This window comes from Homo sapiens, chromosome 2 (genome assembly GCF_000001405.40).
Source record: "Homo sapiens chromosome 2, GRCh38.p14 Primary Assembly".
Classification (NCBI taxonomy): domain Eukaryota; kingdom Metazoa; phylum Chordata; class Mammalia; order Primates; family Hominidae; genus Homo; species Homo sapiens.
In genome coordinates, this window is record NC_000002.12 from 114,455,465 (window position 1) to 114,482,795 (window position 27,331).

General features: G+C 36.9%; 1 protein-coding gene across 10 annotated transcripts in view; it reads left to right on the plus strand.

The window, feature by feature from the left end:
• The window catches only part of DPP10 (dipeptidyl peptidase like 10), a 1,403,140-nt gene that overhangs the window by 12,824 nt on the left and 1,362,985 nt on the right, over nucleotides 1–27,331 (plus strand). For 3 of the 10 annotated variants that reach the window (NM_001178036.3, NM_001321912.3, NM_001321908.3), the window contains exons 1-2: nucleotides 6,113–6,676; nucleotides 7,931–7,962. The exons of 5 other annotated variants lie outside the window; for them this stretch is intronic. Coding sequence is in view for 2 of the 5 variants with exons in the window: in NM_001321908.3 (NP_001308837.2) it covers nucleotides 6,624–6,676; nucleotides 7,931–7,962 (85 nt within the window). In the remaining 3 variants the exon portion in view is untranslated. Of the gene's footprint in view, nucleotides 1–6,112; nucleotides 6,677–7,930; nucleotides 7,963–27,331 lie in introns of those variants that run through there. 2 more of the 10 variants (NM_001321905.3, NM_001321911.3) reach the window with 1 other exon arrangement.

Sequence of the window (27,331 nt, forward strand, 5' to 3'; positions counted from 1 at the left end):
AACCTGGGATGCGGAGGTGGCAGTGAGCAGAGATCATGCCACTGCACACCAGCCTGGGTGACAGTTCAAGACTCTGTCTCAAAAAAAAAAAAAAATGTAAATACAGCTGTAGTTGGCTTATTGCTAACTTATTTCATTGGAGTTTGGCTGAAAAGGTTTAAAGTGATTTCAAGTTTGGAGAAGTTACTTTTTTCCATAATAAGAAGAAAATATCTTCTAGGCACCTACTCTGTGCCAGAAAGTCTCATACCCACAAATTCATTTGTTTTTTTTTTTTTTTACCATTTTCATGCTCAGTAAAGTAGTAAAAATCAACAGCTAACCAGCTGACCTTCATCTAGCCCTCTGTATTCAGTATTTCTTCTAATATTTCCAGATAGGCATTATTCTCATTTTACCAAAAAATTTTAAGGGCTTAATTTTTTGAATGCAAAAGAGGTAGAACTGGGCCTACTACTCAGTCGTGCTTTGACTCCTTATGTCATGGAGGCAAGCCCGTTGCATCACACCACATGGCAATACTGCTTATGAAAATATCTAACTTAAGGGTACTTCCTTCTAAAATATACAGGCACTTGACTATCCCATCATTATATGCTGACAGGTGGGTCTTTTCAAAGTCTCACGTTTTCATGGTCATCACCCCGCTCAAGTCCTTATCATGTATTACTAATGGAGACTGTAAGGGGAGGCCCACCTGGAAACATCAGAACTGGGAACTCAGACCTCAGTGAGGCAGGAGAAACAATAGAGAATCCAGAAAGCGCATCTAATGGGAATACTAAGCAGGACATAACACCATAAACTAATTTCAAAGGATAGCTTAGGGTCTGGGAGAGATGGACTATTGAGGAGTAAGGACAAGTTTGCACAAATCTGGATGACCAGTGATTTTAAGTCCATTTGGACTAGTGACTTCTTAACATTAGAGGCCCAGGCAGAGGCATCTGTAGCAATCTTGGTCTAGCCAGGATCAGGGTAAGAATATTAACAATAGCAACCATGTCAGAAATATATATGGGATTCAAGTATTTGCAAAACATTTTAGATTTTTTTTGTGTTGAATGTCAACCACAGTCCTATAAGACACACATACTTATTATCAACAGGATATGATAACATGAAGAAGGAAATGTATGTTGTTGAATAAAAATAGCAGTATATAATGAAGTATATATACACTGTATAGTTTTATAAATTGCAACACATTTTGGAAAGGCAACTGCTTAAGAGAGTGGTTGTGATTACACGTACAAAATATTTCAGGCATTTAAAGTACTGGGCTGAATTTTTCCCAGTAATTAAAATAGGGCATAAGAGGCAGCATATGTTCTAGAGATCACTAGAGTACAATAAGCCAAGGGCAGATATGAAGCCAGCATAAAGTGGGGAAATATAGGAACAAATATCCTATTACAGTGTGTGTGGTCTATTCCTGGACACTGTGGTTATAGAGTCCAAGTTCTGCTGCCAATGCCACAATAAGAAAGCCATGGACAAATGTAGAAAACAGTTAATAAAAGTGATGCTATCTATGCCTGATCTAACTCCATCTAGTGAGAAGTTTCGAGAAAGAGTTTGAGTTGAGTTTGTGGAATAGATTAAGAGTAAGATCAAGGAGGATAGACTTGGATATATAAATAAAAACTGAGTTCATTCTTAATGTTCAGGAGAGAACAGATCCTGCGTCTGTTGTATCTTACGCAGACTCTGTTGGTCAATACAAATAAACTATATCCATTTGGTTTCACTTGCTCTAACTTGGGATTTCTCAACCTCAGTGCTATTGACATGTTGGGCCAGACCACTCTTTGCTGTGGGTCTGTCACTGGCATCGTAGGATGTCTGGCAGCATCCCTGGCCTCTACCAGTCAGTAGCCCCTTCCCCAGCTGTGACAATGAAAGGCCTCCAGACATTGCTAGTGTCCTCTCGGGAGCAGAATTAACCACTGGCTTACATGGTAGCTGTTGTTGCAGGTGAGGAAACTCCGGGACTAGGAGTAGGTCTGGGTCATTCTGGTCTCATGGCTTCTGTGAATTGGGAGCCACTGTAGCAGTCTATTTTTGGGCCTTTCTGAAACTGAGGATGGTTGAGCCACCCAAAGAACACTCAGAGGATGCAGCATTTGTCAATCAGGATTTACAGATGGAGGAATCTGGGCGGAGAGTTAGTAGTCTGCCCCCAAATCACATGGAAGAACTGATATTTATACCCCTGGGATAACATTCTATACCCTGTCTCTTTTCTCTATAACAAGTGATTTTTATTTTATGCTTTGCAAAGCCCCAACACTTAGGTATTGAGTGAGAGGCAAAGCAGGAAGGACGCTCCTGCATTTCTGCTCCTATCCCTGCTCCTGTCTTGGCCAAAGTAGCACAGCTATCACCATTCCATGCTGAGGATGGTTAGTGTTCCTTTTAAAATAGTAACAAATAATGTTCTCTGAATTATTCCTCTATGCCTGCTTGGAACAGAAGACAGACCAGTGTTAACCCAGAAAGCAACACAACAATATTCCTTATGTGCTGTCGGAACTCTCTTTTCAAGGGTAAGGCAGGCTGAGGCTGCAGGGTAAATCTGAAAATCAACAAGGTAGAAAGATACAGAGACTGACTCAAAAAGACCATTTCATCATCCATTCCTGGTCTCTTTCCAGAACAGTCATCTTCTTGCCTCCATATTTCAGTCTTCCAGGCTATCCTGTGCTATTCTGCCAGAGTTTCTTTCCTGGCAAAGCCTTAACAAATAGTACCCCGTTCTTGAGAATCTGAATTCTCATCCTGATAGCATCTTGCTTGGCAATCTTCAAATTCTATATTAATCTAGGAACTTCTCACTCTACCCTTTTTCATAAAATAGGAAATCATCTCAGGGTGGGAGAATCACAACTTGACCACTCATCTCTCCCCTATTTGCCTGTCATGAAATCTAAGATTCTGCATTTTGAGACTGATTTTTTTTTAAATAAAGAGGTTGACTGCTCTAGTTATTTTCTTAAAAGCAGATGAACTTGAAAATTTTGACATATGTATATTTTGTCAGCCAAAGGCATACCATCTATTTCAGGAGGCAATATTATATCCTTGCTAACAATGTGCGCTTTGGAATCGAACTGCCTCAATTCATATTCCAGCTTGCCGCTTTTAGCAATATTATCTGAGGCAAGTTTTCAAAATCATCTGAACCTTCTTTTCTCATCTGTTAGATAGGATAATAATGTTCTCTATGTTACAGTTATAGCAATTAAATGACATGATACATGCAAAGTATTTTTAAAAATAATAAATAATAGCCATCTTCATTATTATTACTACTTTTTTTGAGGAGTCATTGATAAAAGCAAATGCACTATTGAAGAGATCATTAATAAAAGTCAATACAATGTTGAAGGTCATCTTGTCCAGTTTCACAATCATCTCTGAGTTATTGGGAAATGTGTTATAATGAATAGATCAACAAAAATATAACTACAGTAAGGCAAAATAATATGAAATGAATTACAAAGACTAAATCACTCTGATAAGATTGATTGTCTTCTGACTGATATTTTACTATATTCCTAACATGGGTCTGAGAAAGAGGAGAATAATATAGGCAAATTGCTACAATCATCAATTAAGTAAATTTCTAAAAATGTTAAGGAATGTATAACACAAAACGAGCTAAAGAATTGTTTGCAGAATGAGTGTTGAAGATATTGGGTTTGTCATGGTTGCCGTTCCCTATATCATGCTGTTCTTACCGTTGCTGTGACCTTCTTCTCTTGTTCAGCAGGACATTGACATGCAGCATGTAACATGTACTACTAGAAGATGTAACCAGTGATCTGGCTCTTATGCCAGGACAGATTTTGTTCTAGGGTCCTAAATTGGTACTACCTTCATCACTGATTATATCAGTCAGTGGTCCATGCTATTAATACAAGCAGCATGACAATCTTAGGGGTAAGAAACATGTTACAGTTTAGAAAGATCTGTACAAGGTCTACTTACAGAGACTGGTGTCAAAAATTTTTATGAGACTTGGGAAAATCATATATATTTTTTCCTTTCCTCTTCCCTGGGTTTTCCTTATTCCTTAATACATGCAAAGCTGATGGGGTCAGTTTGGGATCTCGAAGGGAATTATCCCCTCTGTATTACAAGAGGCCTCATGGTGAGCTATGCTTTGTTCAAAAAGGATGAAAGCAATTTAAATTAAATAACAATGGATAATCATCTAGTTTATTGTAAGGTATTGCCACTTGAATACTACAGTTTTACTATGGAATCTTTGTTTCAATAGTTGTTTTTTATTTTATATGTGACTTACTACAAGAACTTACTCTGTTATTTTAATGTAGCTATGTTTTTAATATTTCTTGAGTAGTAGTAAAGAGGGTTATGTCCTGTTATCATGGTGACTTACCCCTGCCATCCATTCCTGGGGAACTTGCTTGGCTGCTATGGTCCGTGTGGTGACAGGTTATTCCTTGGTAGACATGAAGTGCAGAGGGTACAGTGACATTAAAGACCTTTTCATTACCTGAAATCTTCTTACAAACCATCTACCAAGGTATGTTAGACCAAGAAAAATGTCTTCTATTTTCTTCTACAGATTATAACCAGCAATACGCTGAGATGATAATGGGGCTGGATATGAAAATAAATAGAGTACTTTACTTTCTGAAAATCATTCCATAGCAACCGAATGCATTTGGGATGATATCTATCTATCTATCTATCTATCTATCTATCTATCTATCTATCTATCTATCTATTCTAAGAGCATATGTTTGTGTTCAAATGTCTGCTTTTCTAAAAAAGTATTTTTGGAAACTGACATATAAAATGATCAGTACTAGTAATGCTCAATCCTTTCTTGTGTTTTGGTATAGTACTGACTTTTTATAATCTATAGACATTTTGCATATAATTTCAGATTAGCTGATATAGCTAGGGTTTAATTACAATTACTTCCTAGAGAAAAAGCTCCTTTGTCTGAACGGTGATAATTCTGAGTATATGATTTAGATGTGCCTATTATAACTGGGTGATTGAAAAAAACTACTGAGTAAATTCACAATTTAAACAGGATGACACAAGGTGTACATTTAACTTATTTATGACACAAATTTTTTCAAGCCTCCATTTTATGGAAAATATAGAATACTGTGTGTTACTTTTATTTATTCATTATAGGACTATTTTCTTTTGGGTCCTTCTTTACCTACTGTAAGCTTTGTAGCTTAGTTTGCGTTACTTTCTGTATATAAACTAATAAAGAGGCATATTTTTCAATAGACATGAGCCTTTCACTAATTCAGAATGCCTATTTCTTTCATTAGGACAAATTAGAGATTATGTTTTTCTCTGAACAAAATGCATTTTTATGTCAATTAAATGAGAGTTTTTGATGAAATGTTTCCTAACAGAGAGTAAGTAATTGTGATATAATTGTTTGTAGATGAAAAATAACTGCCACATTCATGGCAAATGTGAGTTTAATGCAGATGATTTTCATGACTATGATGTGTTTTATGCGGCTTTTTATACCCACTGTTTTGGAAGCATTCATAGTACCAGTTAAGGCAAAACCAGCTTAATGTTTGTTTTAGTGCTTGGCAACAAATACAGTCTATAAAATATGTAGTAGTTAATATTAAAAGCACATGCCAGATTGTAACATAAAGAGTTTATTCAATCTCTTTAAAGTCATCAATTTGAAGCTTCATCTGAATGAGTTAGCATTTGAGTTCCATATGATTTTCAGCAGGTGAGATCTTGTGAAGTTAGGAATTGGCTACCCCTGCGAGCCCCCATTGGCACAGCCCCCAGTTTCTTAATGAGCTTGCCTCATTGCTGAGTGAGCAAAACACTCTTAACAATGTTCCTTTTGAGCCATCTTTGTTGCAGGGGGAAATAAAGAGAGGCGCCAAGCCTGCAAATTCTTTCCTGATCCCATTGGTTCACCAGGAGAGAACAATTTTGTTTTCCATGGTTGCGGTCTTTCAAGGTTGCCTTTACTTAGGATTTGATTACCTGTCTCCCTCAACCAATTAGCCTCTCCCACACACTCTCTTGCCTCCAATAATGATCAACCTCCTTTTCTAAGACCAGCCTCCTCTTTATCATATTGCATTAAACACTTGATGAAAGAAGACCTAGAAGGCTTTAAGAAAGACAGGGTAATATTTTGCTGGTGTAGAGGGCCTGCTCTTCGGAGACAAATACTTGCTTTTCATTTTGATCAGCCGTCTGCACTTAAAAGCCTCCTAGCCAGGGACATGTTAATTAAACAGTCTGGGGCTCAGTGCTGCCATCCGTAAATTGGAGGATTAGAGAAATAATATACACAAGTACCTGGTACATACCAAATATGATAGAAGATATCTTCAACCTTTAGCTATAAGAAGAATGGAAAATGAAAAAGAGACAGGTGGAGAGAGGGAGGGAGATGAGAGCTGCGTGGAGCTGGTATGCTGGTTAGGAGGTAGGAAATAATGAGGCCTCGACCATCTAAGATACAGAAGTCTCCCTGCTGAATCGAAAGGAAGTGCTACAATATTCTTTCAAATTCATCGCAGTTGAGAGAAAACTGGAGCAGAGTGTGATATCAAGAAAGGGCTTCACCAGGATGATCAATGCAAATGGATATGGAGCTTTCTTGGAATGAAACATTATCCCGTAACACCAGGTAATTTTCTTTATTAAAAAATACACATTAAAGTCTTAGAATAGTTTGATATTTACCGACAAGTTGCGAAGATTTTACAGAGCCGTATATACCACCCTATTGCTAATATTTTACACTACTATAGTACATTTGTCACAATGAGGAATAAACGTTGTGGCACATTACTATTAACTAAACTCCATACTTTATTTAACTTTATTACTTTTCCCCTAACCTCCTGTTCCAGGATCCCCTCTAACACATGACATTTAGTCATTATTTCTCCTTAGCCTTCTCTGAACTGTGACAATTTTTCAGACTTTCTTTTCGACAACCTTGGCAGTTTTGAGAAGTACTGGTCCCTGATTTTGTAGGATGTGACTCAAGTCGATTTTGTCTGATGTTTTTCTCATAATTAGACTGGGGTTATGGGCTTTGGGGAGGAAAACTTCAGAAGGGATATACTATTCAATTCATATCCTAACAAGGGTCTATGCTATCAACGTGACTTATCACTGATGCTGTTAACCTAGCTCACTTGGCTAAGACAGTGTTTCAGGTGTCTCCACTATAAAACGCTCTTCCCCCTGCTTCGCACACCATACTCTCTGGCAGCAATAGTTGGCACCGCCTACCCTTACGTGGTGGGGAATTATTCTCTATCTCCTTGAGACAGGGCAAGTATCAACATAAATTATTTAAAATTCTTCTATTCGGATATCTGTCTCTTCCTCTTCTCCCACCCCCTGTTGACTTTATTCAATCACATATTTATTCAATCACTTAGCTCCTGCATACTTTTAGCCTACACCTATCATTTTTGTTTTGTAAGCATTTCCTTACTTTCTGATACCATCATAAGCTCCAGGATGATCTTGTATATTCCCTGCCTTGGCCCTAGAATCAGCAATTTCCCCGAGGACTCTGGTTTCTTTCATTGGAGAATGGTTTTTGAAACCAAGATCTTGGTGCTGGGTGTGCTGGTCACTACAGGGGATTCATCGCTTCTAGGCCCTCTCAGTGGACAGAGCTAGGAAATCTATATGTGCATACTAACCCATGTATGTATACATATCTATAATTATTTCAATAGCCATCCATCTGTGTCCATATTAAATATTTAAGCATGAGTTCACAATGATGTTTCCTACTCTAGTACTGTACCACATGGATCATTCTAGTCTTCCTCCTTTGCTTGTCTGTAACCTCCCATTTGAAAACTGAGAAAATTGGATCTAACTCTTATTGGTTCATTTACTTACTTTTTCCATCCAGGTATACATACATGAAGAGTGGCTTCAGGACTGGTAAGTTATGTTCCTTTGAAAAATAGCTTTACCAACTAGAGGACAGTGCTCATGTGCAGTTCCTTTGCCCTTTTATCTTCTACTTTCCAATAATTTCCAAAGTTACTTAGGTCAACAGTCTTTAACCCACCCTCTTCAGTGAAGTTATGTTATATACTTAGCATACAGTTACATCTTTTTGTCGAAGTGTGCATTTCATCCCAGGATCTCTTAATCTACTAGTTATTTTAAATTTGCCTATGTTAAATTTATTCTCTGCTCTGTAAAGTTCTATGAATTTTGACAAATACACAGTGTCATATATTCATCACTATGGTACTGTGTGGAATACTCTCGCCACCCTAAAAGAATCTCCTGTGCTTCACCTAGTCAACTGTCTCCCTCCCCAAACCCCTTCAAATCTCTGATCAGTTTTCTGTCCATGTATTTCTGCCTTTTCCAGAATGTCGTGTGAATAAGATCATAGATTATGTTGCCTTTTCAGATAGGCTTTTTTTCATTTAGTAATATGCATTTAAGATTCATCCACATTGTAGCATGGATTAATAGCTCATTCTACTTTATTGCTAAGTAATATTATCTGTGGATGTGTCCGTTTGTTTATCCATTCACCTTCTGGAGAACTCGGTTGCTTTCAGTTTTGGGTGATTATAAATAAAACTTCTAGAAACATTCAGGTGCAGGTTTTTGTGTGGACATAAATTCAAGTCAATTGGGTAAATACCTAAAATTGCAACTTATGGGGGATATGGTAAGTCTAAACTGTCTTTCGAAGTGGCTATACCATTTTGCATTCTGACCAGCAGTGTGCTTCACCAGCAGTATGGATATTGTCTTTTTATTTTTTTAAGATTTCAGTCATTCTAATAGGCACGTAATGGTATCTTCTTGTTTTAATTTGCAGTTCTCTAATGACAAATAATGCTGAGTATCTCTTTATATACTTATTTGCTACCTGTATATCTTCTTTGGTGGGGAGTCTGTTCAGTTATTTTGCCCATTTTTAACTGGGTTATTTATTTTCTTATTGTTGATTTGTAAGAGGTTTTCTAAAGAAATATTTCAGATACATATCGTTTATTAGATATGGTTGTTGAAAATATTTTCTCCTAGTCTGTGGCTTATCTTTTCATTTTCTTAACAGTGTCCTTCACAGAACAAAGGTTTTTAATTTTTTATTGTATTTCTATCCTCTTTTTGTCCATGGTTATATCCTCTACTATACAGAGCTGTTCCACTTACTGTTAGAGCAAATCGTATTAATTTCTGTTGCCCTAAATAATTGTCCATTGGCCGAGAGCTGTGGCTCATGCCTGTAGTCCCAGCTACTTGTGAGTCTGAGGCGGGAGAATCGCTTGAACCCAGGAGGCAGAGATTGACGTGAGCCGAGATCGTGCCACTGCACTCCACCCTGGATGACAGAGTGAGACTCCATCTCAAAAAAATAATAAATAATAAATAAATAATTATCCATTATATTGTATTGAAAAGAGCTGCTATATATGGCATGATACCACTCATTATGTTAGTTTTCCCCGTTCTCCATAAAATGACCACTGTGTCTGTCAGAGTTGTCACACAGAAGTCTCTAACCATCTTAACACCTGAGCATGCCCAGGACTGGAGGGGAACTATTGCGTTCTGTATAGAGTACAACAATCATGGGCGTTGGACTCAGAGACCTCGGTTCAGATTTTGCTCTTAACATTTCCTGGTTGTGTGAACGTAGAAAAGTAACTTAAGTTTTCTGAACTTTGGCCTTCTCACCTATAAAATGAAGATAATATCGTCCACGTGTCTTAGGTGCTATTAGAAGGACACATACGAAGTGTTTAGCACAGGGCCTGACGGAGTGTAGCACTCAGTAAATGTTAGTGCTTACTTGCTTTTCCCCCTTGTGCTCCACATTTTCTTTCAGCCTCCTGATTTTTCCCAGTGGAACTCTTTACCTTGCATCCATCATTTCTATTGCAATGCATTTCTATGCCTTTTCGAGGAGCTTTTCTATTCCATCTACACTGAAAATGGCTCATCCTATTGATACAATTTCCCTGCTCCCAGCCAATGGCTGCTGCAGCACTTCCTGATATCTAGATCACAAAGTCCCTGAACAGGTTAGGGTAGCACATGTTAAAAAAACAATATTCCTGCAAGTTCACCTTTCTCTTACTTCTCATTTCCAACCTAAGATCTTTTCAATGAGCTTACTCTGATTGAATATAAAAACAATTTTTAAATAATTCAACCTAAAATAATAGAAGTATTTTTTGCTTTTATTATTTGTAATTAAGTTATAATAATTGTACACATTTATGGAGCACAGTGTGATATTCTGATACATGTATGCAATGTGTAATGATCAAATCAGAGTAATTAGCGTCTCCATCACTTCAAACATTTGCCATTTCTTTGAGTTGGGAACATTCAAAATCTGTTTTTCTAGGCATTTGAAAACATACAAGAAATGTTGTTAATTATAGTCACCTACAGTGGTATAGAATGTTAAAATGTATTCCTTTCATCTAGCTGTGCGTTGTGTTGTTAACCAACCTTTGGCTGTGCTTCCCCCCACCCCTACCTGCCTCTGGAATCACTATTCCACTCTCTACTTCTGTGAGATAAACTTGGAAAGAAATAATACTATTAGGATGATAATTTCCCACAAATTCATCTATAAATTTATTGCAATTCTAATTAAAAATCCCATATGATTTATTATGGACCTGTCATACTAAAACTTGTTTGGGAGAGAATATGCTGGAGAATTGCCAAGAAATGTATCAGAACATTCTATAAAGCCACAATAACTAAGGCAATCTGATATTGACAATGTGTATTTTATCAATGGAAAATAATAACATAAACATATATGTATTTATGTGGTTTGTTCATATATATGTATTGTGTATGCATAGTTGTGTGTATATATAGTATTTATATGCATATATTTAAGCATAACAATTCAAATCATCATGGAAAGGATGGACCATAGCAAAGGGTCTTTATTACACAATAGTTGTGAGCACTGGCCCTGGCACCAGACTGCTTGCTTTGAATCTCGACTCTGTTTCCGGGATTTGAATCTGTCAGAGCTATGTGACCTTAGGCAGGTTGTTTAATTTCTTGGAGCATGGCCTCAGCTTTCTTTTGTGCTGAATAAGAAAATAATAGTACCTAACTCCAAAAGTACTTAGAAGGGTTAAATGAATTAATGTAGGTAAGGAGCATAGAATAGGTGCTGGCACTAAGCACCAGCGAATGTGAACCATTCTTATTATTATCATCCATAATATAGAACGTAAGCAATTGTCTGTTCGCTTTGAAAAGTAACCCTTGGCAGGGCGCGATGGCTCATGCCTGTAATCCCAGCACTTTGGGAGGCTGAGGTGGGTGGGTCGCTTGAGGTCAAGAGTTCAAGACCAACATGGCCAACATGATGAAACTGCATCTCTACTAAAAATATAGAAAACTATTAGCTGGGCATGGTGGCAGATGCCTATAGTCCCAGCTACTCCGGAAGCACAAAAATTGCTTGAACCCGGAAGGCGGAAGTCACAGTGAGCAAGATAGAGCCACTGCCTCCCAGGGCGAGAGAGGAAGACTCCATATCCAAAAAAAAAAAAAAAGGAAACCTTTAGTGACTAGTTTAGAGCCCTACACTGACAGGTGCCTATCCAGTTGCTGATTTCTTGTGATGTGGATTTATTTTTACTTCATAAAATAAAGAGGCAACCTTACACTTTGTTATTAAAATAGTAAGTGGTAAGGAACCCTTTAAGGGATATGGTTTTAACATATTATTCAAAATAGGAATTGCAAACTCAATTGCTTAGAGAGGTCAGCAAGTAAATCAATGTACTAGACTGGGTAGAGCGTGTGGTGAAATGAAGGCCTTCTAGACGCTTAAGAAGACAACCAGTTTTCAACACCACCCAATTATTGCCAGGCAGAAACATGCGTGCACATTTTTTAAGATTTTTATTTTCATGCAATATTTTCTGGCTTCTAAATGTTGACAACAAATTCAAAGTTTGAAGCATTGTGTGGATCAAACAAAATAGATGTCTAGAGATCAGAGTTGGTTCATATTGTTTGTTGCAATCTGAGACTTAGAACCTCCTTTAGGTTACACTACCCAGTCTTTCTCCCAACCTGTGTACCCCAATTGTACCTTGCACAGTGCTGCCCAGGTGATAAGGAATCAATGCTTGTTTTTTGTTGAATTAACTTGATTTTAATTCTGAATCTTTCTGATTCCAATCAATGCTTTGAATTAATAATACTAGCTCCTGGCCAGGCACGGCGGCTCACGCTTGTAATCCCAGCACTTTAGGAGGTTTAGGTGGGTGGATAGCTTGAGCCCAGAATTTGAGACCAGCCTTGGCAACACAGAGAGACCCCATCTCTACAAAACAAAACAAAACAAAACACCACAAAAAAACATTAGCCAGGCATGGTGGTGAAGTGCTGTAGTCCCAGCTACTTGAGACGCTGAGGTGGGAGAATCACATGAGCCCGGGAAGGTTGAGGTAGCAGTGAGCTGTGATTGCAGCCACTGCACTTCAGTTGGTGCCACAGAGTGATACACCATCTTAGTAATAATAATAATGGTAATAGTAATAAAAGTGATAGCTCCCTCTGTTAGCCATTTATTTTAAATATCAGGTGCTGGTAGGGTCTTTACACATATCCCTCTGATCATTACAATACTCCGTAAAGGTTGCTTTTCTCACTTTATAGATGGGAAAACTAAGAGGTTCAGTTACCTTTCTAAGGTCCAAGGCTAGTAGAATTAGTGATATGACATTGTCTAGGTCTGCCTTTTTGAGGGAGTGAGATGTCAAAAGTAGTAGCAAGAGGTCCAGATCCCTCTAGGGTGTAGTGTTTCCTGGCATCAGCTAACTGGGAATACTGATCACGTCTTGTCCTGGAAACACATTTCATTGGATGACCTTGTCAGGCTTACAATGCAAAAAAAAAAAAAAAAAAAAAAAATTACAGGATAAAAGATGAAAGATGTCTTCCACTTACAAATGGCAAGCGATAGCTATCCAAAGGTTCATTTGTAAATCAGTTGTTTGAAACTCGGAATTCATTTTCCTGCAGAAACAGTTACAAATGGTGGTTATGTTTCCCCTGAGGCTCATCCACAAAAGACCATTTAGCCTTAATGTATCTGAAATAGTGTACATTTGCTGTGAAAATGTGTAGAAAATAGAACTCTTGTAATTCTAGTAATTAAATAAAAGAAAAAGTAAAATTGAATGAGAACTTTAAACTGCATCTTGAATGCTGCTTCGAAAGAAAAGCAGATTTACCCAGAAGAGGATGCAGAACTTTGAAAATAATTTTGTGGGGATTTTAAAGGGGGCTTCTGAATACTTTCACAGCACTTGAGAAGTTAATGAAATCATATCATTGAAATATCGCATTTCATTTCGTGATTTCTAGATTTTTAACATAATCTTTCCATGATTAATGCTATTTCTAGTGTTCTCTTTAGAACAAGAAGAAGAAGGGAAAAAAGGGTGGAAAAGGAAAAGACAAATGAAAATGGGCTTCCTAATGATGCAGAAGTTGACAGAGATAGCATGTGAAAGAAAATTAAAGATCATGTTTGTTTTTCGATAGGCATGCAAGAAGCAAAATTAGCCATGAATTATGAACAGTGGAAGGAGGAAAACATAGATTCTGATTTCACTTGAGAGAGACAAAACAATGCTGGTGGCAGAGATCTTTTCTCTGAGAAATTCCAGAAACTGTTACTGTTTTATTCCATCATCTTAGGGCATCATACTTCATGGCAAATGTAGGATGGGTACAGGATTGAGATCAAGAGTGCAAAAGTTGCTCAAATGGACTAAATGTTGAGAATACTAAGTACTTATTAAACAAGAGAGGATTTGTTCTCAAACAAAAGTAATTATCATTTTTTATTGTCTAGGTTTTATCATTCATCTTGTTTAACCTTCAGCCAGGAGAATGAAAGACAGAAGTTTTTAAAAAATATATATATATTGTGGGCGGGGTGTGGTGGCTCATGCCTGTAATCCCAGCATTTTGGGAGGTGGAGGCAGGCAGATAACCATACAGGAGTTTCAGACCAGGTTGGCCAACATGGCAAAACCCCGTGTCTACTAAAAATACAAAAATTAGCTGGGAGTGGTGGTGCATGCCTGTAATCCTAGCTAGTCAGGAGGCTGAGGCAGGAGAATGCCTTGAACCCAGGAGGCCAAGGTTGCAGTGAGCTGAGATTGCACCACTGCACTCCAGCCTGGGTGACAGAGTGAGACTCCATCTCAAAAAAAACAAAAATACCAAATATATGTATATTGAATGGCCAAATGGTTGAACAGGAAATTGAGGAAGAATGAACAACCTCCCAGACACTTCCACAGTGAGTTTGCAAGGAGCCTAAAAGCTAGCTGCACAGAGCAGAGGCCCTTCCTGCCAAATGTAACCTTCTTTAGAAATAGAGAAGAGAAAGACAGTTGGGGGACAGGGGTTATTATGGATACAGGACAAAAACAAACCAGGGTAAAGAAACCAAAAACCAACAAGGCCAAACCAATGGACACCTTGAGGTGATGTGGGCAGACACAGAGTGTTTCCCTTTGTTGTTCTTTGGAGAGTAAGATAGGCTTCCACCACGGACCCTCTTGTCAATAAATCTTCCTGGGTTAAGTGGTTAGTTAGACTAAATTGCTCTTCCACCAATTTGAGCTGACAGCAGCACAGAACCGTCAAAACCATTGCTGTGTTGTCTCCATAGCCAAAGAGTGTTGTTGATTTATTTCTGTTAGAGGAAAATTTTAACTTGCCTACCTTTATTTTTTTTAATCATTTGAATTTAAGACACTAGTTCCCAGTAGGATTCACTATGACAATTTTCAGTGATGAGAAAAAGCATCAAGGGTTTCTGGTCTCTGAAGAATTGTGTTCTTTTTGGCCAATAAAATTAAAATGAAATAGATTTAAATTGTATTAATTCCTAATTTAAAGCTGAAGTTTCAAGTCACCTTCCATTACTATTGTATAGGATTTCTACATAAACCTATTGGGACCTGAGACAGGCTAAGCCTTACTAAATTTCCTGGCTACAGGGATATTTCTTTTGGGGATTGGAGATGAGAAGGGGTAATATCGACAATCTCATTTTCTCCTTAATTTTTCCTTGATTGAACTGGTGTCCATTTGCTTAACTTATTCACTGTGTGTTATAGAAATTTACAAGTTACTTTGCAAGTGTAGCTATATTCATGTATGTGCTATCTTTTCTTTCTTCAATTAAATTGTGAGCTCTTTTAAGTAAGGAATTATATTTTATCTTCTCCCACAATGACCAAAGCCAGAGTATCTTACTTAAGACACTTGAAAGTGGAATACAAAAAGTATTTTCATGCAGTCCATACTGCCTTGTTTGCTAATTGCTGTACACATGCAGACATCATCTCACCAACTATGCCCTAAGCACCTCATTGGTGGAGTCTTGTTTTGAGGTAGTGGTTGTAACAGTTTGGGTCTTTTATTAGTGCATTGTAGGGACAGAGTAGCCTCTCAACAAATAGTTGTTTGTTAAATAGTCAAGTTTGGAGGGCAGTAGATGAGACAAAGTAGAAAATGAGAGCTTTTGCATTAAACTATGACAACTAAAATCTATATTTAAAGTTTACAACCTAACTGTATGTTCTTTTTAGTACATACCACATCATTAAAACTTGATAAATAATGTTTCCTCAATACTGTTACTTAATAAGTAATAAAAATATGATGCTGGCAATAAAAGCTGTTATATTGTTACTGCCTTACCTCCTGGTTGGTGAGCAAATGCTAGAAAGAAAAAATGGGAAATAGTTTAAATTTGAGAGTTTTGGATCATTTTCTTGGCAAAGTCAAGAGACCATTTGCTTCTTTTAAGCAGTCTAAAAGGTGTCAAAGGATTAGAAGCAAAGGAAATATCAGCATTGCTGTGCTGTTAGACAGATTCCTAGAGAATCAAATAGGGATGGTAACAAGATTGAGCAACCCATCTCCTTAGAATTTTGCTTCCCTTTACACCGACAACCTCCCTATTTTATTTTTAATTACCCATAGAAATAAACAGGAATGCTAAAATATTTTTTGAAGATAAATTCTATAATCATTTCAAGTTTGATTGTTGATAAATATGATATGGATGAATATAAAGAGTAGATTTTCAATATGAAAAAAGAGTCTCCTAAAATGACGTGGGTTGTAAATTGGAGATGAATTTCTTATTAGTTTTAGTGCCTTTTGTGTCTCCTATTGTCAACTTAAATGGTCTCACACAACACATCTGTTGCTAGGCTCATGAGATGGAGCAGAGTTCAACAGGTACATTTCAAGGCCAGGAAGGCTGATAAACTGAAGGTTCAGTAGGTAAGAGAAGCACTAGAAACATAATGATCAGTGAAATTTAGTACTATCAAGAGGCTAGAAATCCGGTTAGAAAACAAACCACAGGATTGGTAGGATCTGAAAGTTGTCACAGCTTCAACAGTCAGTATTGCCAAAGAAAATAAAATGGGGCACTTTTTAAAAGCAGTAAACTTCGATTTCACTCAGGAATAACTATTGCAATGTGGGAGAGACCTCAGCATAACAGCTCAGTCCAACGAAAGGCAGGAGACTGTTTAAATGCTGGGGTGTACCCAAAGAAAGGCATTAAGGGAGAGATTGGTCCATGTGATTAGGCTATCTGGGTTTGCTAACTAGTGTTCACCTAGAGGAGCAAACTTCTCATATCTTTTTGACAGAAATTAGTGGTGCAAGTTGGAGCAAGGCATCCACTGAAGTTAGGTCCTTACTGTCCTACAGGGACTGGGAATGAGAACTATTGCCTTGAATGTTTGTATTTCAAGGAGATGGCTCTCATGTCCTTGAGGAGCCACTTCTGGATGGTAAAAGATTTATTTCAATGGGGGCAGAGAAAGGATTTATAATTGCAAGCTTTCTAAAATAAGTGCTTTAAGAGGGATTCAAGGGCCTATTGGCCTATCACCAGGTTTTGGCTGGAACAAACAGTAAATTCTCCTGGCAGCATTGAGCTTTCTCAGAAAGTCATTTTAAGGGGGGTTAGTGCGAGAAAGACTGAAAAAGAAGTAGTCCCAGAACTGTTCTCACCTTCGATGCAGGCTGCGTCTCAGCCTAATATTTGTCCTGATATTATTATCTCAGGGGACTCACAGTCAGGAAGAGTTGGTAAAGAGGTTGTCAGACTTTAATCTCCCCCAACTTCTAGTAACTTACCAGAAGATGCCACAAAGTTTAGTGGTGATGGAGACCCCTCTAGCTAGAAGAAACTTTTGGTATTTGTTTTTATTCTATTTGTGATGTGTTCTAGCATTGTGAAATGAGGCAAAAAGAAATGCTGAAGCTGGTTCACAGAAGTAAGTTGGTGTAAAATCCTATGTGGTCCAGGTTTATCTCAACAATACAATCTCCTCATGCCGTTCTACCTTAGCCAATCTCCTCCCATCACCATAGCAACCACATCTTATAATATGTGATTCCAACTTAGAGTGCCTCATCACTGCCCTTTGTACATGCAGATTGGGAAAGATGGAAGAGACTGTTCTTGGGAATAGCACACAGCAATCTGGGCCAAATCTGGGTGGTGTGTGCCCCACTATTTGCCAAGCTTATTATCATTTTTTTTCTCCTTTGGCCTTATTCAACTAGAAGTCCTCTGCATCTACTAGAATTCACTACATATATAGCCCCAATCTTCTTTCTTTTATCTCTGGCAGTGAACAATAGAAGGCATTTAAGAGCATGAAAAAATAAATAATAAGTGCAGTATGAGGTGTATGGTAGCCATTGCTATTAAAATTACTCATTCACTTTTCTATGATGAATGAAACTCTAGTGATAAATAATAATGGTGCCCCTGAAAAAATTAGGTTTGCAATTAGGACAATTTCTGCCTTGTAGACAAACTGCCTAATATTATGCTTCAAGACAGTTATTTACCATAGTTATAACCCAATGTGTCCTGCTGAAATGGCTTGTTTTTCCTACAATGTTAAAGATTTAATTTTTTGAAGATCAGTTTGTTTGAAACAGCAGCTGTACTTTTAGGAACATAACCTGAAGAAATGTAGATGTAGATGTAGGTTAAAGTGAGTTCATCACAGGCAATCGAAGATGTAGTTTAAAGATGTAGAATTGTTGATAGTAGTAAAAATTGTGAACAGTCCCAGATATTGAACCTTAGAGGACTCATGAAGTTACATAAGGTAAACACGTGCAATAGATACAATGTAACCTTTAAATTGATGGTAACTGTATAATATTTTTGAAATGGAAAGATTTTTATGATACATTTTTAGTGAAAGAAGTAGCTTGCAAGTAATGTAAACACTGACATTTAGTTATTAAAAGATACATATACATATTTGTATATATTTATACTTACATACATACATACATACATACACACACTTATATACATTTGGCTAAACAAAAGCTTAAAAGAATGATTTGTAATTTTGTGAATGCTTTTGTTATTTTTCGTTGTTGTTTTTCTGAGATAGAGTCTCTCTCTGTCGCCCAGGCTGGAGTGCAGTGGCACAATCTCGGCTCACTGCAACCTCCGCCTCCCAGGTTCAAGCTATTCTCCCGCCTCAGCCTCCCGAGTAGCTGGGATTACAGGCGTGCACCACCAGGCCCGGCTAATATTTTATATCTTCAGTAGAGATAGTTTGCACCATGTTAGACAGTCTGGTCTCAAACTCCTTACCTAGTGATCCACCCGCCTTGGCCTCCCAAAGTGCTGGGACTGTAGGCATGAGCCATTGCGCCCAGCCGCTTTTGCTATTTGATAATTATTTTCCTAATAAAATCCTATACTAATGGTGTAACAACCAAAATAAAAAAGAATGAGGAACGTAAAATTGCAGTTTGCTTTTCTTATTCATTATGTCAACAAAACCTTAGCCAACCACACTGGCCCTTCTTCTTTTTCCTGGCCAAGTCAACCCTATTCCTATGAATGATAACTGGAGAAAATGTGCCCAGTGTGGGGAACAAGGATATGTTGGTGTATACCTACCATGGTATCTTTCTCAGGGGACTGAGTAAATACAGGGCTCTGTGCAACACAGGAAGAATTCTTAAGGGGCACCTCAAATTCCAAAATTCAGATCCTTTAAAGAGAGAGGGAAAATCAGTACTGCCCTCTGACTTGGAGTGAGAATATACCCTGCTGTGAAGGGAAGAAGGTCATCCTAAGGTGGGAAAAACTAAAGGTAAGTACTGTACATATGTCTGGGACACAACTTTGACCTTGGGGGAGAAACACACCCATTACTGAGTAGCTTTGTCCTCCACTTATAAGGCATTGGATAGATGTTCAAAATGGGGAGCTGTACCTATGAAACTTTTGAAAGTCATGGTAGGGGCTATATTCCAGAAGGGCTGCAAACCCTAAGAGATGGGTCATCTGCATTCTGAGCCTTGACAGTGAACTGAAAGAGTGGTCACCCTCTGAGGAACCTGGAGGCCTTGCCATGCATGGCGCAGGGGCTTCTGTGCATCAGCTATTTGTTCTTGAAGCAATCTGGTCAGCTTGAAGAATCTGAATATCATAGAGGGAGAAAGGCTTCTATAGAGCATTAAAGCTTGTGACCTGAATTCCCAATGTATGCATTTGTTGGTTTATCCTGAAGAAGAGAACTTAAATAAGATCATCCGCACGGCACAGTTTACACACAAGCATGTTATTTTTCTGTTTTCTCTGTTGCACTCCCAGATTTTTAAAAAACACTTACCATGATATCCTTCAGGACTCACCTTTCCTGGCACAGAGGTTTTTATAATAAATAGTAATGGAATGAATGAGTGAGGGTGCTATATAATATTTACCGATATCCTACTTTTATATATCAGGCCTCATATTATGGTGCAGGGCAGCACAATTTATACCCAGTTGTTATTGCCATTTATATTCAAAAGTATCAAGCTTTGTCATTTTGCAAAAATGCTTTTCAGTCTTGGAATTTTTATTTATTTAGACTGGTTTTCTCTCTCTCTCTGCCCCTCTCTCTCTGTCTCTGTTCTTCTCTTTTCTCCCAGGTCTAATGTATCAGAATCACCTGGGATGATTGTTAAAAATGCAGAATTCAGGGATCCAGTGCCCAGTCATAATCTCTAGGGCTGGGATCTGAATATTAACATTTTTTAAAGACTGCAGCTCATTCTCATGGACACTAAATTTTGAGAACCATTTGTAGTTAATCTATTTAAAGAATCACAGTTTTATACATCGTCCGTCTGAAAATGCAAGGTATCACCTAGAAACTTTTAAGACAACTTTTCCTCTCCTAGGAACTGTAAAATAACAAAGTAGACAAGTGGAGAGTAAGGGTGATAGAGGTGGGTGGATCAATAGGAACTCTCTTTCCTGTGAGGGTAACTTGATAGTGACTAGGCGGTGCAGTTGGAGTGAATTGATTTTGTTCAAACAAGTTTTCCTGTTTCTCAGAGTTCACAGTGAACATTTTTTTGCAGGCTTCTTGCAGTGTGCTGTTTCACAAACCATCAGAGGCATTTAGAAGGGCCAGGGTTTTTCTTCTAAGGCTTAAGAACTTTAAATCTCTTGGGTGGAAGTAGTTTTCAGTGACTTGTTTGTTCTTGTGATATAAGACATAGTACCACTAACCCCTTGAATCTATCATTCCTACTTATTGCTTTAAAGCCAGGATAGTATCAAGTTCTTGATGTACTTTACTAATCATGGCTTTCATTTTCTAATGTGTATTTAATGGATATCTATTCATTTATCATTCTTAAGTACAGAACACTAAAGAAAGCATACTGTAATCAGAGATGTTATCAGGCTCAATTATTTTAGATTAACTGGGTATTGTTATGACAATACTCTGTGATATCCCTATCTTCAAGTACAAAGTAGGCAAGGAAAAAAATGCACATCAAATAAAAAGTAGTTGGCAAAACTACCTTTTGATCCATTTTCTCTCTATTAGAAATATGAATGGCTCTCAAATGTTTTACAAAGATTGTACATTGGACACCAATGAAGCTGTTCAACACTAAGGCCCAAAAAAGAAACAAAAAAATATGGTGGCTCTTTTTGAGAAACAATGAATTTCATGTCTTTCTAGTAAAACACACTATAAAATAGTTCTTCTTGTGTTTACATTTATATAATCATTGAATCATATGCCACAGTCCTGGAAAGTTCAAACAGGAAATAGTGCGTATGTGTGAGTGGGGAGCTACTCTGTGGGACTGGTGATGGCTTGGTGGATATTATTTTTCTTTTTTAATCAAAGTTTAGCAATCATACAGAAATATGTAGGCAATTACCAAACTCAGTGAAATGTACACAGATACCCATGCCTGTATAGTCAGCACCCAGCTAAAGAAACAGAACATGAAAAGCACCCCAGAAAACTATCCTTATGCTCCCTTTCAGGAACTAATTCTTAAAACCATTGTCTTGACTTCTGACATCATAGATTAGTTTGCCCTTAAGTTCTTTATAAAAATTGATTCTTTTTTTTTTTGAGTCAGAGTTTCACTCTGTTGCCCAGGCTGGAGTGCAGTGGCATGATTTCGGCTCACTGCACCCTCTGCCTCCCCAGCTTCAAGCAATTCTACTGCTTCAGCTTCCCAAGTAGCTGGGATTATAGGTGCGCACCACCACACTGGCTAATTTTTGTATTTTTAGTAGAGGCATGGTTTCACCATGTTGGACAGGCAGGTCTTGAACTCCTGACCTCAAATGATCCAAGGCCAAGGACTCCCAAAGTGCTGGGATTACAGGTGTGAGCCACTGCACCCAGCCAAAAATGGATTCTTATATGCACTCTTTTGTGACTGGCTTCTTTGCAACATGTTTGTGAGATCCATACGTACTTTTGGGTGTACTTGTGGTTTGTTTATTCCCATTGCAGTATATTATTGAATTTTATGAAATACTACATATATATTTATACACACACATATATACACATATATGTATATATGAAATACTGCATATATATTTATGCACACATATACACATACATACACATATACATACGTATATACACATTTATGTGTGTGTATATATGTATATATATATATGTATATTGGAGGCCTTGGCCTTGGATCATTTGAGGTCAGGAGTTCAAGACCTGCCTGGCCAACATGGTGAAACCATGCCTCTACTAAAAATACAAAAATTAGCCAGTGTGGTGGTGCGCACCTGTAATCCCAGATACTCGGGAGGCTGAGGCAGTAGAGTATGTGTGTGTGTATATATATATATACATATATACACATACATATATGTACATAAACATGTATGGGTATATTTATACATACATATGTATATATGTATATGCACATATACATACATATGTGTGTATATATGTATGTACATAAATATATGCATGTATAAATATATGTATATATGTACATATATGTGTATATATGTACATATGTGTATATATGTACATATATGTGTATATATGTACATATGTGTATATATGTACATATATGTGTGTATATGTATATATGTGTATATATGTACATATATGTGTATATATGTATGTATTTCTATTGATGATAGATTATTGAGTAACATCTAAATTTAGGCAGCTAAAAATACTGCTGCTACTCAATTCATTTCATACAGCTAATATTACCCTGAAAACAAAACCACACAGACAGTATAAAAAAGCTACGGATAAATACTTCTTATGACCTAAATTTTCAACAATATGTTAGCAAATTGAATAAAAATGTATAAGAAGAATTATACAGTGTGATCAAGTGAGATTTATTCCAGGTATGAAAAGCTGGCTTAACATTCAAAAATCAATGCAATTCCTCTTATCAACAGGGTAGGGTAGGAAAAAATAGAAGATTATATCAGTTTACCTAGAAAAATAATTTAACAGAATCTGATATTTATTTACTGCAAACATGCACCACAAGTTAAGAATAGAGAGAAATTTCCTTAACTTGACAAAAAGCATCTACAAAAAACCTAAAATTAACATCTTAGATGATGAAAGACTCATTATTTTCCTCCTAAGGTTTGTAATAAAGCAAGAATGTATTCTCACCATTCTTATTGGATGCAGCATTGGAAGTTCTAGCCATTGCTACAAGGAAAAAATAAATAAGGAAGGAAGGAAGGAATGAAGGATGAAAGGAGAAGGCATACAAATTGTAAAGAAAATTATCTCCATTTACAAATTTCATAATTACATAGAAAATCTGGAGAGATCTACAAAAAAACTTACATAACAAGTGGATGAGTTCAAAAAATCATAGGATGCAAGATCAGCATGCAAAATTTTATTTTTTATACCAACTGTGAACATACAACAATCAAAATTTGAAATACCATGCAAGCTAAAATTTTTCCAAAGAAATTGCAATCTATTTGTGTATACTTAATAAAGCATGTACAGAATCTGTATGCTGAAAATGACAAAATGCTGATGAAAGAAATCAAATAAAATGTAAATGATAGAAATATATTCTTAATTTCTTAATAAATTAAGCATGTACAGAATCTGTATGCTGAAAATGACAAAATGCTGATGAAAGAAATCAAATAAAATGTAAATGATAGAAATATATTCTTAATTTCTTAATAAATTAAGCATGTACAGAATCTGTATGCTGAAAATGACAAAATGCTGATGAAAGAAATCAAATAAAATGTAAATGATAGAAATATATTCCATGTTCATGGATTGAGAAGCTCAAAATAGGGAAGATGTCAATTATTCCCAAGTTTCTGTTTTGTTTTGTTTTTACACATAGACAAGCTTATTCTCAAATTTATATAGAAAGGCATAAATCTTGAATTAGCTAAAACCATCTTGAAAAAGAAAAATGAAATATGAGGAATCATTCTACCTGTTTTAAGGCTTACTGTATAACTACAAAAATAAAATTATTGTGGTATTGATAGAGAGATACATAGATCAATGAAAAAATGAAAAAAAAACAGAACTATTCAAATATGCCAAACTGATTGTTGATAAAGGTGCAAATGTAGTTCAATGTAGAAAAGATAGCCTTTTCAACAAATGGTTTTGCAGAGATATAGACCAATGGATCAGAACAGAGCCCTCAGAAATAATGCCGCATATCTACAACTATCTGATCTTTGACACACCTGACAAAAACAAGCAATGGGGAAAGGATTCCCTATTTAATAAATGGTGCTGGGAAAACTGGCTAGCCATATATAGAAAGCTGAAACTGAACCCCTTCCTTACACCTTATACAAAAGTTAATTCAAGATGGTTAAAGACTTAAATGTTAGACCCAAAACCATCAAAACCCTAGAAGAAAACCTAGGCAATACCATTCAGGACATAGGCATGGGCAAGGACTTCATGTCTAAAACACCAAAAGCAATGGCAACAAAAGCCAAAATTGACAAATGGGATCTAATTAAACTAAAGAGCTTATGCACAGCAAAAGAAACCACCATCAGAGTGAACAGGCAACCTACAGAATGGGAGAAAATTTTTGCAACCTACTCATCTGACAAAGGGCTAATATCCAGAATCTACAATGAACTCAAACAAATTTACAAGAAAAAAACAACTCCATCAAAAAGTGGGCGAAGGATATGAACAGACATTTCTCAAGACATTTATGCAGCCAAAACACAAATGAAAGAATGCTCATCATCACTGGCCATCAGAGAAATGCAAATCAAAACCACAATGAGATACCATCTCACACCAGTTAGAATGGCAATCATTAAAAAGTCAGGAAACAACAGGTGCTGGAGAGGATGTGGAGAAATAGGAACACTTTTACACTGTTAGTGGGACTGTAAACTAGTTCAACCCTTGTGGAAGTCAGTGTGGTGATTCCTCAGGGATCTAGAACTAGAAATACCATTTGACCCAGCCATCCCGTTACTGGGTATATACCCAAAGGATTATAAATCATGCTACTATAAAGACACATGCACACGTATGTTTATTGTGGTAGTATTCACAATAGCAAAGACTTGGAACCGACCCAAATGTCCAACAATGATAGACTGGATTAAGAAAATGTGACACACATACACCATGGAATACTATGCAGCCATAAAAAAAGGATGAGTTCATGTCCTTTGTAGGAACATGGATGAAGCTGGAAACCATCATTCTCAGCAAACTATCGCAAGGACAAAAAACCAAACACCACATGTTCTCACTCATAGGTGGGAATTGAGCAAAGAGAACACATGGACACAGGAAGGGGAACATCACACACCGGGGACTGTTGTGGGGTGGGGGGAGGGGGGAGGGATAGCATTGGGAGATATACCTAATGTTAAATGACGAGTTAATGGGTGCAGCACACCAACATGGCACATGTATACATACGTAACAAACCTTCACGTTGTGCACATGTACCCTAGAACTTAAAGTATAATAATAATAATAAAAAGTACACCCCCCAAAAAACAAAAAAAACAAAAAGTTTTGCAGCAAGTGGACATCTATAGACAAAAAAGGAGCCTCTACTTAAACTTCTTACTGTTTATAAAAATCAACTTAAAATGAATAATGAACTTACATATAAAACATATAAAGCAGTTAGGGGAAAAAAAAACAGGAGAAAATCTTCAAGATTTACCATGAGACAAATGGTTTTTAGATTTGACACCGAAAGCATGATCCAAAAAAGGAACAAATGAGAAATGTACTACATCAAACTAAAAAAAAAGTAGTAGAAGTATTTGCAAACTACGTATTCAATGAAGGACTAGTGTCTAGTATATACATAGAGCTCTCTAACCTCAAAGGAAAAAGAAAACTTCAAATGAACAGAAGACATAAAGAAATATTTCACCCAGGACTATATACAGATAACAAATAAATAAATGAAAAAATCTTTAACATCATTAGCTATTAGTTAAATGCAAATTAAAACCACAATAAAATATCATGATACCCCTATCACAAAGCCTAAAATAAAAATAGAGACAACACCAAATGCTAACAAGAATGTTGAGAAATGGAATCATTCATAGATTGATAATCAAAATGTTAAGAGGTACAGCCACCATATAACTAGCAATTGTACTCTTTGGCATTTATCCCAGAGAAATCAAAACTCATGTTCACACAAAAACCTGTACACAATAGCTTTACTTAAATAATTGTGGTATAAACTTATCATGGAATACTATTCAACAATGGAAAGAGATGGACAAGCAACAACTTAGATGAGTCTTCAGAGAATTATTCTGAGTGAAATAAGCCAACCCAAAAGGTTACTGTATTAGTCCGTTTTCACACTGCTATAAAGATACTACCTGAGACTGGGTAATTTATTTAAAAGAAGGAGGTCCAATTGATTCTCAGTTCTGTATAGCTGAGAGACCCCTGGAAACTTATAATCAGGCAGAAGGCAAAGGGGAAGCAAGCATGTTCTTCACAAGGAGAGAGAGAGAGAGAGAAGAAGGAGAAGAGAGGAGAAGGGAGAAGGAGGAGAAGGAAGAGAAAGAGAAGAAGGAGAAGAGAGGAGGAGAGGAGAGAGAGAGAGAGGAGAGAAAGAAAGAGAGAGAGAGAGAAAGAGAAAGACAACCTAGGGGAAACTGCCACTTTTAAACCACCAGATCTCATGAGAACTCTAGCATGAGAACAGCATGGCATGATCCAGTCACCTCCCACCAGGTCCCTTCCTCAATATGTGGAGATTACAATTTGGGATGATATTTGGGTGAGAACACAGAACCAAACCATATTAGTTACAGACTGTATAATTCCATTAATATAACATTTAAAAAATGCCAATGTTTTAGAAATGGAGAACACATTAGAGCTTGCTAGGGGTTAGCTGTGGGGGACAGAGAAAGTGAATGTGGTGATAGAAGCCTTTTATTATATGGAATTGATTGAATCTATTTTTGCCTATTTATTAAAACATCATAAAGATAGAATGTTTTGAGCTATATGCCTTGTAAATTCCATCTTAAGTGGAAATAACAATTATGAGAATCAAACGTATCAGTTATCTATTGCTAAGTAACCACCTTAAATCTTGGTTGCTTAAAACAGACATCGTTTATTACTTTCCGTAAGCAAAAGTCAGTCGGGTGGTTCTGATCTGGACCAAAGTCAGCAGATTTTGGCTGGGTTCATTTACATCTGCAGTCATATTTAAACAGAGGTAGACTGAAGATAAAAGTATGTCAAGAAAAGAACACAAAACAGCCAACAGTAATTTTAGTCAGATTTTCTTTTATGGAAAAGTCTTGTTTATTGCTATTTCTTTTCTTGTTGACAAGCTTCAGATAGAGACTCTTCAGCTTTATTTTGTCAGAGATTGCTTATTAGCCAATGCGTATCTTGTACTTTATATGATT